General features: G+C 38.9%; 1 annotated feature.

Moving 5' to 3' along the window:
* Positions 10,523-11,722: an enhancer, noted in NCBI's record as "P300/CBP strongly-dependent group 1 enhancer chr18:26936216-26937415 (GRCh37/hg19 assembly coordinates)". NCBI's record gives its function as "activates an origin of replication core promoter dependent on BRD2, BRD4, P300/CBP, MED14 and CDK7 cofactors, with strong dependence on P300/CBP, by STARR-seq in HCT116 cells {active_cell/tissue: HCT116}" and the evidence as "EXISTENCE:reporter gene assay evidence [ECO:0000049][PMID:35650434]".

Here is a 15,027-nt window from a genome sequence, read left to right as displayed (position 1 = left end):
TGAGATATCACAAATAGCCAAATGGTAGAGTAAAAAAATCTAAAAAGTCTAAAAAAATCTGTTGATACAAAGTGTCAGATTTTGAAGCAGATGATATTCTCATATATTTTTGATGTGTGAGAAAATTGGCACTTTCACTAAGCAACATTTTAGTAAAATCTATTAATGCCAAACATATGGATACTATATTACCCAGAATTTTTACTCTTAGGTATGAATGCCACATAAATGAAATGCATGGATCCTAGATACCTGTACAAGAATGTTAACCGAAGGATTATTCATAGTACATACAAGCAACAAACAACACATTTTGTTTTATAAACCATAAAATAGTTAAATGAATTGCGGTCCATTCACATAATAAAATATAATTATTTACATCTACATGAAAGATATTGATGAGTCTTTCAAACATAAGACTAAGTTCCATCACTTAGGAGATGATCCCAAAGCCCCACACAGCACTGAAATTTAGTCACCTGCCAATAGCTAGCAACGTTGGAGAGGTAGAAATGAAGTCTCTATGTATGCACCATTGTGTCTAGGTAAATCTTTAGGTGTTCCCTTATTAAAAAGAAAAAAAGAGTAGGGATAGTGAAGAAATATTGTTGTTTCTGTCATAGATACTGCTTTAGTCATATACTAAAGTGGTAGTAATATACAAAACCATATAATATTGTAAAGTAACACTGATTCTTTTGCCAGAGACATCAAAATCGATTGCCAACATCTATAAGGAGACATCTGAAATCCTACATATTTTTCAAATCTAAAGTCACCCACTTTTTAAATGCAGATAATATGCTTCAGGTTTTCTTACAGAAGGCTTCATTTTCACAATTCCTGATGAATCTATTCTCTGTACTATTTTCTCATCATTCTTGTCAAAATTTGTTTAATATAGTGGTTAATCACAATGATCCACATAAATTCATTTATATTGAAGTTTAAATAAGAAAAGATTTGAGAGTTTACATTATCATTTTAATAGAAATTTCATCCCTTAATAAAACAAATTAACCAGAATGGTAAAACTTTTGGCACCAGAAAGAAGCAAATAGAAAAATTAGGGCAAATAGATGAGATATTATCAGTATCTCTCATGTTTTCCAATGTGGAGGATTGACTTTATGGATCTGTATATAATGCTGATTCCATTTAAATGACATAAAAGAAAATTTTAGAAGCTAAAAAGCCAAATGTTATAATTCCTATAGTTATAGGTAATTTCCTTCTTGCTAGTCAAAGTTTATTATACAAGGAAATAATTTAATAGTATCTTAAGAAATAGGGACAAAGCAATAAGGTTTAAAGTTGCTTAATTTAGAACCAGGGTAGACTCATGCCTGTAATCCCAGCAGTTTGGGAGGCCGAGGAAGATGGATCACCTGAGGTCAGGAGTTCGAGACCAGCCTGACCAACATGGTGAAACCCCATCTCTACTAAACATACAAAATTAGCCAGGTGTGGTGGTGCACACCTGTAATCCTAGCTACTTGGGAGGCAGAGGCAGGATAATTGCTTGATCCTGCAAGGCAGAGGTTGCAGTGAGCCAAGGTTGTGCCAATGCACTCCAGCCTGGGCAACAGAGTGAGACTGCATCTCAAAAAAATAAATAAAATAAAATAAAAAATAGAACCAGGGTAGAGTTTGGTCACAGATAACTTACATTATACTGTCTTTTATGAACAGTATAAGAAATTTGGATTAAAAAATAATATGTGAAGTTTATTAAACTCAAGAAGTTTATCCAGATCCATAAACTCTTGTCATGTTAAAATTTATGGTCAACTTAATACAGAATTAAAAACATGTCAAATTCCTTTTCTATCACTAATGATGTAAGTAGGAATATATAATGTCACTTGCTTTATTCAGTCTGATTTGCATAGCAATGATGAATTATGTAACTGATACTGTGACACTAAACAGAAAATTGTATTTGCAATCACCTAGGATATTCATTTGCCTTCATCAACTGACAATGTCCTAACATTTTTTAAGAAAACATCTTCTGTGCCAATATTTTTTGACAGCTGTAGCTGTCTATATAGAATTAAATACTTTAAAAAACCAACTTGACGGCCGGGCACAGTGGCTCACGCCTGTAATCCCAGCATTTTGGGAGGCTGAGATGGGCGGATCACGAGGTCAGGAGATCGAGACCATCCTGGCTAACAGGTAGAAACCCCGTCTCTGCTAAAAATACAAAAAAATTAGCCGGGCATGGTAGCAGGCCCCTGTGGTCCCAGTTACTCAGGAGGCTGAGGCAGGAGAATGGTGTGAACCCGGGAGGCAGAGCTTGCAGTGAGCCGAGATTGCACCACTGCACTGCAGCCTGGGCAACTGAGCAAGACTCTGTCTCAAAAAAAAAAAAAAAGAAAACCAACTTGACTTTATAAGCAGTAATGTGGTGCTTTCAAATAAAAGAAAAGTTTACAGTCATATTAAGTACTAATATAATCTGTTATTTCAACCTCTCATCTTTTCTTTGAATCAGGTACACATGTTTGACAGCTGAATGAAAAAAGAAAAGTGAAGCACTTTAAAACCAGATTTAAACAACTTTTTCTATAAAGAAAACACATGGTTAATTTCCCTCAAGATACCTCCAAATTGCCTCTCAGAGATTGGAAATTTTGCAAGATAGTCATTCAAATTCACATGCTTGATTAAAAGCAGCAGAACCCAGGCTTTGCAAGTCCAATTTTCTATTATTCTTTATTTAAAATATTGCCCTAATTATGATAGTGACCCAAGTAAACATCATAAGTTATTCAATCTGTACTATTTGTGATATGTTGTACAAATATCAAAATGAAAGTTGATATAGTAGAAAAATTACTGCCTTTGTCATTTGAAGACCAGGGATTACTTTCTCTTTCACATTGCTAACCTTGTGATCTTGAAAAAATATTTAAATTCGGGTCTTCAGCTTTGTAATTTGCAATTAGAACACAATAGTTGATACCTCACAGTGTTTGCAGATTAAGTAAACATGCACGTATCATCTTAACATTGTAAAAGTTCTCTGATTTACCTCTCTACATGCCTAGCACAGAGTCTGCCATTTTGAAAATAAAGTTTGGTAATTTTAAATCTTTTAAGTAAGGATTAAATGAGGTAAATCTTGCCTTTTTGGCCAGAATGAAAGCAAATGATTTTTCTAAAGGAAAGGAAAACAGCACTCTATCAATGCTGAGGTGATAATTAATATTGAGTCAGATTTCAAGCAATGGTAAGCGAGATTCCACTTCAGCAATCAGAAACAATCTCTTTGCCTTGCTAATTGGGTAAGAAATAAAGACCAGTATTGCTGCAACAAAGGAACTCCCTAGTAAGGTGAGCATACATACAAGTTCAGGTAATAATCAGGTTTATTGGGTGCTGTGTCTATGTATATGAAGGATAGAAATTTAAAAAACCAAGTATATTATCATCAGGAATTTCACAAGTGAGAATCATATAGCATAGCTTGATACTGACATCTAAGGCTTTTATGGATGGACTTTTGTACGATGTCAGCAACTGCAATACTTTCATAATATTATTGCAGAGATTTTTACATCACTATAGTATAGAACTCTAGACTATAAAATCAATGATAAAAAAGGAAAAAAAGTTTTAGTTGCTCCCCAGTCTTGTTGTCTTGATAGCAGTTAAGTTATTCATAGACTCATCTAAAGAGTATCCTAACACCACAATTCTTCCTGTGTTATGCTCTGAGTCTAAACTTTGTCTAAATTATCTTTTGCACATAGTTCTATGAATAGGAACTTGAAACAGGGCCTTCCTGATACATATATTGCTCTCTATGAAGAAACAAAATTTCATGGGATCAGCTACATGAGAATATGCACTATCTATTTTAACTCCTTTTTTTTGTTGAAATTCTTTGTTGTCCCTTAAAGATATTTTGTTTGTTATCACATTAAATTTTCTCTGTTGTTTCACTTCCTTAAATTACACTTACCAAAGTGGTTATTACAAATGTTCAATATGTTTATTCATCACTGTTATTAATTTCAGTGAGGATTGTGGAATAAGTGGGTGGGGATATGCATTGGCTGAGGTTCCCTAAGTATTTACATCAAGACTTGACTAGAGATTTATTTGGGAAACATCTGTGAACTGGGAATATTCTAGTTCTAAGAAAGTTGCAGCAAAGTAGGTGGGTTCTTTGAGACCAGATTGATCATCAGAGAATTGCATGTTTTGCAGGAACCAATCTGACTTAGTATCCTTGCTATATTCAGTCACTGCCAATTCAGTCACTGCCTGGGAATGGCTCATCGGAAGCTTGGCCTCCAGAGGAAGACAGTGGTGAATTTCCCAGTGCAGCAAGTGGGAATGACAGTCAATTGTGCCCTCTTGAGCTGGAAGAGCTGAAAGATGTATTTTTACGGTCAGCACAGGAGCCCTTTCATACAAACAAGGGCTGCTAAGGGCTTATTTTAAATTTGGCTTATAATAAAGAGTTTCACTTAGTTCTCTGAATATTTCTTCTGTTGACAATAATCTGTATGATAATTACACACTGAGCATCATTTTTCAGAACTCAGAAAAATAGTAACCAAATATTGATATTCATTAGATTCATAATCCATGCCAGTTCTGCTCCAGATGAGCTTCCAGAATAGATTTAACTGTTTGAAATCTAGGAATCTTAAAAATCAAGTAAGTAGAACATCCTACTGAGAAAGTGCCGCTTCATTTTATCTTCAAACATAATTATCCTAAAATAATCATATATTTATCACCTTTTCAGAATGATTTCTGAGAGCTATAATAGGATATACTTTGCTGAATTTATTCTCACACCTATCTGCTTCTACAGAAATTCCAGTGAACTTTGTTCACCTTTCTTTAAGTCAGTACCTAGAAAAGTAAACACAAAAAAATTCAAACAAAAGCCCCACTGTATTCATCCATTTTCATACTGCTATAAATAATACCTAAGACTGAGTAATATATAAAGAAAAGAGGTTTAATTGACTCACGGTTCTGCATGGCTGAAGAAGCCTCAGGAAACTTATAGTCATGGTGGAAGGTTAAGGTGAAGCAAGGCACATCTTACCCTTATGGCGTCAGGAGAGAGAGAGAAAGGGGAAGCACAAGACACTTATAAGCAGCCATATCTCATGAGAACTCACTCATAATCATGAGAAGAGCCTGGGGAAAACTGCCCCCATGAGCCAATCACCTCCCACCAGGTTCCTCTATCACAGGTGGGAATTACAGTTTGAAATGAGATTTGGGTGGGGACACAGAGACAAACCATATCACCCTGCCCCGGCCCCTTCCAAATATCATGCCCTTTGCACATTTTAAAATCAATTGTTAGTTATGAGTTCTAAATTTCTTTTCAAAGAATCAATATGTCAGTATGTTCAATTCTTTGCCTTCTACTTTTAAACTTAACTTCCTTGTAAAGCAACCTTTTTCGATTACCTACTCCACCCTGACCCATTCTGATTACCTCCTCTGCCCTGACTCATTCCAATTACCTACTCCACCCTGACTCATTCCGATTACCTGCTCTGTCATAACCATTTTTCCCACCAAACCACTCACCCCGTCACTCTCTTTCAATTAGCCAATCAGAATTAGTTTAGCCTGTGCGGTCTAACCCTTGCCAATAGGGGCCACATGCGTCAGGGATAAGAACCCCTTCCCCTCCCTTGTCCAAGTGTGTGCTCACCATTGCTCCATCTGTAAGGGTGTACCCTTCTGTAGAAGTACCTTGCCTTGCTGAGAATTAAAAAGAAAATTTTATATTCGAGTACTAGTTCTTTTGCAGCACCGAAACTTTATTTATAACAATTTGGGGCCTCACCGGTGATTACATTATCCTCCGGGGGCGGTCTCTGGTTCTCTCTTCTGAGGAGACATGCCCCGCCCCCTTGTGGCGGCCTCGGGGGTGAGAACTCAAGACCCACTCAGTGCGAGGAATAACCGCAGCTCTCAGCAACGCGCAGGGGAGGGGCTGGGGGGAGGGACTGGCCAGCAACCTAGCTTAAAGGATCCTCATAGACTGCAGCGACGATTCTGTGCACAGACTAAGGAAGGAGAAGCTGCAGGAACCGGTAAAGTACTTCCTTGGTGGTCAAATTCTGGAGGGCTAAATGTATGTGTGCGTGAATGATCACAAACAACCCTACTTGTGGTGCTGTTCATGTGGATGGTGAAAAGTTCTACTGCTGGACGGAGTGAGTGGGTCCTTTCTGCACTTCCATAGCTACCTCAAATGGCTTAGGGCAGACCCTGTCGTGGGATTTATACCAGCACGCCAACACTAAGAGGGGCCTAATTCTCCCTTGGGGAGCAGCCAGAGAGGACAACATGAGTGGGAAGTGTGCAAGGGACCTTCAAAGGGGTAAAGGGAGGAAACAGGTCAACCTTCCAGAGCAGCAAGGCAAGACTGGTGTGAGGGGTTGAGCCTTCCGGGACAGGCAAGATGAGACATTTCGGTGTGAGGGGTTGAGGCTTCCAGGACAGGCAAGGCGAGACATCCCTGGTGTGAGGGGTTGAGCCTCCCACTAATTTCAGGGGTTGAACCTCACACAAACCTCCGGTAATAAGAAAAATATTCAGAACTCCTCTTTCCTTTCTTCTCGGGGGAGGAAAGGGTAGCTCCACTCCCGCCAGTCCCTCCTCTAAGGGAAGGGGAAGGAGAGGGGAGAACAGCAGCATAAGCGGCAGGCAGAAGCAGGGAAAGAACAGCAGAGAGGAGAGAGAGAGAGGAAAGAAAGAGAGAGAAGGGAAAGAGAGAGGGGAGAGAGAGAGAGGCAGAGAGAGGGGAGAGAGAGAGAGGAAGAGACAGAGAGACAAAGAGGGAGTCAAAGAGAGAGAAAGAGACAGGCAGAGAGAGAGGAAGAGGCAGAGAGACAAAGAGGGAGTCAACGAGAGAAAGAGAGAGACAAAGTCAAAGAGAGAAAGAGATAGAACTAGTAAAGAAAAAACAGTGTACCCTATTCCTTTAAAAGCCAGGGTAAATTTAAAACCTGTAATTGATAATTGAAGGTCTTTTCCATGACCCTATAACACTCCAATACCACCTTGTTGTCAGTGTAAACAAGGGCGTAACCCAAAAGCACTGAGGCCACTAACGACCCGTAGCCTTCCTATCAAAAATTAACCCAGTAACCCGAGGATGGCCCAAATGCATTCCTTCTGTAGCAACAACTGCTTTGCTAGCAGAAGAAAGTAGAAAAATAACTTTTAGAGGAAACCTCATTGTGAGCACCAGTTCAGAACTACCTCACCAGTTCAGAACTACCCTAAGTCAAAAAAAAAAAAAAAAAAAAAAAAAAGCAAAAAGGTAGCTTACTAACTCAAAAATCTTGAAGTATGGGGCTATTCTGTTAGAAAAAGATGATTTAAAATTAACCTCTGATAATTCCCTTAACCCAGCAGGTTTCCTAACAGGGGATCTAAATCTTAATTAATTACCATACAAAAGTTCAACCAGACCTAGGAGGAACTCCCTTCAGGACAGGACTATAGAAAGTTCCTCCCGGGTGATTGAGGAAAAAAGACACAATGGGTATTCAGTAATTGATAGGGAAACTCTTGTTGAGGCAGAGTTAGGAAAATTGCCTAATAATTGATCTGCTCAAACATGTGAGCGAGCTGTTTGCACTCAGCCAAGCCTTAAAGTACTTACAGAACCAAGAAGGAACCATCTATACAAATTCTAAGTTAATTTGGGCTAAACAAGGTCTTATTAATAGCAAAGGATAATTAAAATCCCAAACTTACAAGGTTTTCAACTTAAGTAAAATTTGCTAAAAGTTAACAGTGTAACATGTATTATCTTAACTTCTAGTCTTGTGGCCTTAGGCAGTCTAGTCCACAGACATGAAGGAAGTTTGCTTTGGAGAAAATAAAAAAAAAAAAAGGGTAGGGGAAGAATTTATATAAAAAGAATGTTATGTGATAAATTCTTGTCCTAAAATAAATTAACTGGTTTTTTAAAGAAAGGCATGTTTGCAACAAGTCAGAAGGTTGAGGCAAGTCAAAGACTGTGAAAGTCGTGAAAAAAAGTTATAAAAGGGAATTTATGCAAGAAATGTTGTATAATTTAGAAGTAATTAGGCCTCCTGAATGTAAAACTATTGAAGAAACAGTTTATGTGCAAGGTGTGCAAGGAAAGTAAAATATAATTTTGATAAAAGGATTATAAGGAGGCATAAAAATGTGCATTTTTACCTACATTAAAAGGTTAAAAATTTTGTTTTAAAGGTTTAAGCAAGTTTTAAAATGTTAATTGCAAAGGAAATTCTGTGTGTAAACATATTGGCTAAAGTTAAAGGGGTATCATCCAGTTTTTCTGTGAACTGAACATTAAAATAAAAGCACAATGGGTTTTTCTTAAAGCACTAACCTGCTCTTTAACAAAAATTATAAAAGGTTAAAAAGAGTCTATAAAAATCTTACCTTGTGGTCAGATGTTAAAATTGGATAAATATGTCTACAAGGTTTTATTAAAATTGAGTTTAACATTAACAACATACTAATATAAAGGTGAAATTTAGCTTACCTGGCATAAAAATCATACAGGAAGCATTGTCAAATATAAAATAGTGTTTGGCTTTCTTTGGTCTAAAAACTAATAAAAATAGGTGCTAAAGAAAATTTCTCAGTAAGAAGGCACCAAGGACTATAAAGTCCACTGCTGATGTCCCCACATTTAAAACAAAATATCAGTTTCTTAGAAAATATATACTTGGTTTATCTTCCACTTTCCTTTCCCTCAAAACTGAAAGTATTTTAGCAAAGGTACCACCCCTAGAATTTCTGGTAAACCAGCACCAGCCTGAAGATCACATTCTCCTCAAAGGGTGGAAAGAAGAAAAACTCAAGCCAGCCTGGGAAGGACCCTACCTTGTGCTACTAACCAGCGAGATTGCTATTTGTACAGCAAAAAGGGGATGAACTCGTTACACTGGTGTCAAGAAAGCACTGCCCCCTCCAGAGTCGTGGACCATAGTCCCAGGGGAAAACCTGTACCAAACTAAAACTAAGAAAAATTTAACTCTCTTTCATCTATTCTGTTACTCTTTCTTCTTTCCTCGCTCTATTGCTGACCATCTAGTTATTAACATAACCAAGTCATTTTCACCTCAAACTATTGTATTTAATGCTTGCCTTGTTATACCCTGTGGGAACGTGTCAAGTCAAAGACAGCTCTCTACTTCAGAGAAGCACCTCTATCTCTCCTAACTCTCCTCAGACTGGGCATTAGTGAATTGGGACCATTTAATCTGGGGAGATTTTGATAAAGATCCCAGTGTCAACTAGGAGTCTTGCCCCTCTGATGTAGAGCTTTTATGCCACAGTCGATCCAACATTCTGTGAACCACTAAAGAGCAAGGATGGACTGCCCCAACCGGTTTTTGTAATTTCCTAAAACCATACATTCATTTTACTAGAGGGACAGCCCCACCCCCTAACTGTCAGCTAAACCAGTGCAATCTTACACAGGTTATTATCTCAAACCCTCAAAGTTCTTCCCATTTTCTAAGCCAGTTCCCTTTAAGCCGGTTTTATGGTATAGGGGCTGAGGTTTCAGGGACAGACCCCATTGGATTCTTTGATATGCATTTCTTTGATTCCTCGCCACCTGCACCTTCCTCTAAGCCTTCTTCCAAAACCTCTCACAATGGAACAATTGCTTCTCTTGCATCTAAGATCAAGATAGCTACGGTAGAAGTTAAAGACTTAAAACAAACTTTGGCAATTAAGACAGGATACCAAGATGCAAATGCCTGGTCGGAATGGATCAAATATTCCATCCGCATGTTAAACAAAAGCAATTGTTATGCTTGTGTAAACAGCAGGCCAGAGGCCCAGACTGTCCCCTTTCCACTAGGGGGTTCTTCTTGTCAACTGGGCATGGTAGCTCTTTTCTAGGATTCTACAGCCTGAAGTAACAAATCATGCCAAGCTCTCTCTCTGCTATATCCTGAAATCTGGCACCTTGTGGGTCAGTCCCCAAGGGCCATCCTCCTTCTGTCTCCCAACACTAAGTTCACTTCATGTCTCTCATGACAGGGAGGAAACAGCATTCCTTGGAGACCTGAAGGGATGCAGCGAGCTTAAGAATTTTCAAGAGCTTATCAATCAGTCAGCCCGTGTTCATCCACGAGTGGATGTGTGGTGGCATTGTGGTGGAACTTTACTGCACACTATGCCAAATAACTGAACTGGCACTTGTGCTTTAGTTCAGTTGGCTATCTCTTTCACCCTGGCATTTCATTAACTAGCGGAAGAAAAAAATAAGACATTGTAAAGTGAGAGAAGCCCCTTATGGATCTTTTAACTCTCATATCTATTTAAACGCAAATGGAGTCCCACGGGAAATACCAGATAATTTAAAGCCCAAAATCAAATAGCTGCAGGATTTGAGTCAGTATTTTGGTGGATGACAATTAATAAAATTGTAGATTGGATAAACTACGTCTACTACAACCAACAGTGATTTATTAACTACGCTAGAGATGTTGTTAAAGGAACAGCTGAGCAATTAGGGGCTACTAGCCAGATGGCTTGGGAAAATAGGATAGCCTTAGATATTATATTAGCAAAAAAAGGAGGAGTTTGCATCATGACTAAAACTCAATGTTGTACCTTCATCCCAAACAACAGCGCCCCTGATGGAAGTATAACAAAGGTATTGCAAGATCTGACTGCTCTGTCCAGTGAGTTAGCCAACAACTCAAGGGTAAATGACCCCTTTACAGAATGGCTAAAAGAGTGGTTCGGTAAATGGAAGAGAATAATAGCCTCAATTCTTACTTCCCTCGCAGCCGTAAAGGGTGTACTTATTCTTGTCAGGTGCTGTGTCACACCATGCGTCCGTGGGTTGGTGCAGAGGCTCATAACAATGGCACTTACTAAAACCTCCCTTAACTATCCTCCACCTTATCCAGAGAAGCTTCTTCTTTTGGAAAATCAAGTGGAACAACTAAACCAAGACATGTTAAAAAATTTGAAAAGAAGGAGCTGTAAGGAAATGCAAGAGGAGGGGTTGTTAGATATGAGTTCTAAATTTCTTTTCAAAGAATCAGTATGTCAGTATGTTCAATTCTTTGCCTTCTACTTTTAAACTTAACTTCCTTGTAAAGCAACCTTTTTTGATTACCTACTCCACCCTGACCCATTCCGATTACCTGCCCCACCCTGACTCATTCCGATTACCTGCTCCACCCTGACTCATTCTGATTACCTACTCTACCCTGACTCATTCCGATTACCTGCTCCACTCTGACTCATTCCGATTACCTACTCCACCCTGACTCATTCCGATTACCTGCTCTATCATAACCATTTTTCCCGCCAAACCACTCACCCCATCACTATCTTTAAATTAGCCAATCGGAATTAGTTTATCCTGTACGGCCTAACCCTAGCCAATAGGGAACAACACAGCAGCAGGGGCCACGTGTGTCAGTGATAAGACCCCCTTCCCATCCCTTGTCCAAGTATGTGCTTCACCATTGCTCCATCTGTAAGGGCACACCCTTCTATAGAAGTACCTTGCCTTGCTGAGAATTAAAAAGAAAATTTTATATTCAAGTGCTATTTCTTTTGTGGCACCAAAACTTTACTTATAACACAACCATGCCTTCCCAACAGTCCCCCAAAGTCTTAACTTATTCCAGCATTAACTCAAAAGTCCAAGTGCAAAGTCTCATCTGAGGCAAGGGAAGTCTGTTCTGCCTATGAGCCTGTAAAATCAAAAACGAGTTAGTTACTTCCAAGATACAACAAGGGTACAGGCATTGGGTAAATGTTCCCATTCCAAATAGAAGAAATTGGCAAAACCAAGGGGACCACAGGTCCCATGCAAGTCCAAAACCCAGCTGGGCAGTTACTATATTAAAGCTCCAAAATCTTCTTTGCTTTCATGTCTCACATCCAGGGCACACTGATGAAAGGGGTGGGCTCTCCAGGGCTTTGGCAGCTCCACCCCTGTGGCTCTGCTCTGTAGGGTAAAGCCTCTGTGGCTGTTTTCACAGGTTGGCATTGAGTGCCTGTGGATTTTCTAGGTGCATGGTGCAAGCTCTCAGTGGATTTACCATTCTGGGATCTGGAGGACAGTAGCCGTTTCACAGCTACACTAGGCAGTGCCCCAGTGGGGACTCAGTTTGGGAGCTGCAACCCCACATATCCCCCTGCATTGCCCTAGTAGAGGTTCTCCGTGAGGCTTCTGCCTCATTAACAGACCTCTGCCTGGGCATCCAGGCGTTTTCATACATACATCCTCTGAAATCTAGTTGGAGGCTGCCAAGCCTCAACTCCTGACCTCTGTGCATCTGCTGGCCCAGGTCCATGTGGAAGCCTCCAAATCTTGGGGCTTGTACCCCTTGAAACAATGGCCTGAGCTGTAAATTGGCTCCTTTTAGTTACCACTGGAGCTGGAGCTGCTGGGACACAGGGTGCCATGTCCAGAGGCTGCACAGAGTAATGGAGTCTTGGGCCCCACTCATGAAACCATTTTTCATTTCTAGGCCTCCAGGCCTTGGGAGGGGCTACCGTGAAGGTCTCTGACATTCCCTGGAGACATTTTCCCCATTGCCTTGGCTATTAACATTTGGCTCCTTGTCACTTATGCAAATTTCTAAGGCTGGCTCGAATTTCTCCCCAGGAAATGGGGTTTTCTTTTTTACCACATAGTCAGTCTTTAAATTTTCCAAACTCTAATCTTTTGCTACCCTTTTAAATATAAGTTCCTCATCTCCATCTGAGACCATCTCAGCCTGGAGTTCATTGTCCATATCAGTATCAGCATTTTGGCCAAAACCATTCAACAAATCTCTGGGAAATTCCAGACTTTCCCATACGATCTTGTCTTCTTCTGACCCTTCAAAACTATTCCAACGTCTGCCCATTACCCAGTTCCAAAGTCACTTCCACATTTTCAGGTTATCTTTATAGCAGCGCCCCACTCTCCATGTTACCAATTTCCTGTATTAGTTCATTTTCACATTGCTATAAAGATACTACTTGAGACCAGGTAATTTATAAAGAAAAGTTTAATTGATTCACAGTTCCACATGGCTGAAGAGGCCTCAGGAAACTTACAATCATGGTGGAAGGTGAAGGGGAAGCAAGGCATGTCTTACATGACAGTAGGAGGCAGAGAGAGAAGGGGGAAGCACCAAACACTTATCAAACAACCAGATCTTGTGAGAACTCACTCACTATCATGAAAACAGCATGGAGGGACCAGCCTCATGATCTAATCACCTTCCACCAGGTCTCTCCCTGGCTCCCGACACATGGGGATTACAATTTGAGATGAGATTTGTGTGGAGATACAGCCAATCCATTTTACCCACAAATACTTCTATGTTTCCTGTTTGTTCATGTGATCTTGAAAGTGAAGAGTTTTGAATGACAAATATCCTCAAATATTTTAAGAGTTTTTTATACGCCCTTCAAAACACATTTCTACTTATTCAAAATTTATTTCTAGAAAGTCCTAGTCAGATTAATTAGGTGAGAGAAATAAATAAAAAGTACCCAAATAGGAAAAGAAGAAGTCAAACCACCCCTCTTTACTGACAATCTGATTCTATAACTAAAAATCCCTAAAGACTCAGCCAAAAGGTTTCTTGAACTGAAAAATGACTTCAGAGAAGTTTCAGGATAGAAAATAAATGTACAAAAATTAGTAGCATTTCTATATATGAGTAATATTCAAGCTGAGAGCCAAATCAAGAATGTAACCCCATTTACAATATCCACAAAATGAATAAAATACCTAGGGATACATCTGACCAAGAAGGTAAAAGATCTGTACAAGGAGGACTACAACACACTGATGAAAAAATCAGAGATGGCACAAATAAATTTAAAAAAGAATTCTATGCTTATGGATTGGGAGAATCTATAACATTAAAATGGCCATACTCTGCAAAGCAATTTACAGGTTCAATGCTGTTTCTATCAAACTACTGATGGAATTTTTCACAGATTTAGGAAAAATTATTCTAAAATTCATGAGGAACCAAAAAAGAACCTAAAGAGCCAAGGCACTCTTAAATAAAAAAGCCAGAGGCATCACACTACTCAAATTTAAACTATACTGTAAGGCTATAGTAACCAAAACAGCATTGTGCTAGCACAAAAACAGACACATAGGCCAATGGAATACAATATGGAACACAGAAAGAAAGCCATACACCTACAACAATTTCATCTTTGACAAAGCTGACAAAAACTAGCAATAGGGAAAGTGCTCTCTATTCAATAAATGGTGCTGGGATAACTGGCTAGCCATATGCAGAAGAATGAAACTTGACCCCTACATTTCACCATATAAAAAAAAAATAACTCAAGGTGGATTAAAGATTCAAATGTAAGAACTCAGACTATAACAATTTCTAAACAAAAACCTAGGATATACCCCACTGGACATTTGCTTTGGCAAAGAATTGTTGGTAAGTCCCCAAAACAATTGCAACAAAAACAAATATTGACAAGTGAGAGCTAATTAAACTAAGGGACTTCTACACAGTGAACAGATATCACACATAATGAGAGAAAATAGTTGCAAACTATGCATCTAAAAAAGGTCCACTATCCAAAATCTATAAGGAACTTATATCAGTAATCAAAAAACAACCTCATTAAAAAAATGAGCAAAAGACATGAACAGACACTTCTCAAAAGAAGATATACAAGTAGCCAACAAACATGAAGAAATGCTCATCATCATTAACTATGAGAGATGCAAATCAAAATCACAATGAGTTCCAATCTCACACCAGTCAGAATGGCTATTATTAAAAAGTCAAATAATAACAGATGCTGGTGTGGCTTCAGAGAAAAGGGAACATTTATATGCTGTTGATGAGACTGTAAATTTGCTCAGCCACTGTGGAAAGCAGTTTGGGTATTTTTCAAAGAACTTATATCAGAGCTACCATGTGACTCAACAACCCCATTACTAGATAAATATCCAAAAGAAAATAGATTGTTCTACCAAAAGACACATGTATTCCTATGTTCATC

Source organism: Homo sapiens, chromosome 18 (assembly GCF_000001405.40).
Source record: "Homo sapiens chromosome 18, GRCh38.p14 Primary Assembly".
Lineage (NCBI taxonomy): Eukaryota > Metazoa > Chordata > Mammalia > Primates > Hominidae > Homo > Homo sapiens.
The sequence above is the reverse complement of the archived record's forward strand: the minus strand, read 5'-3'. Positions and strand labels throughout refer to the sequence as shown.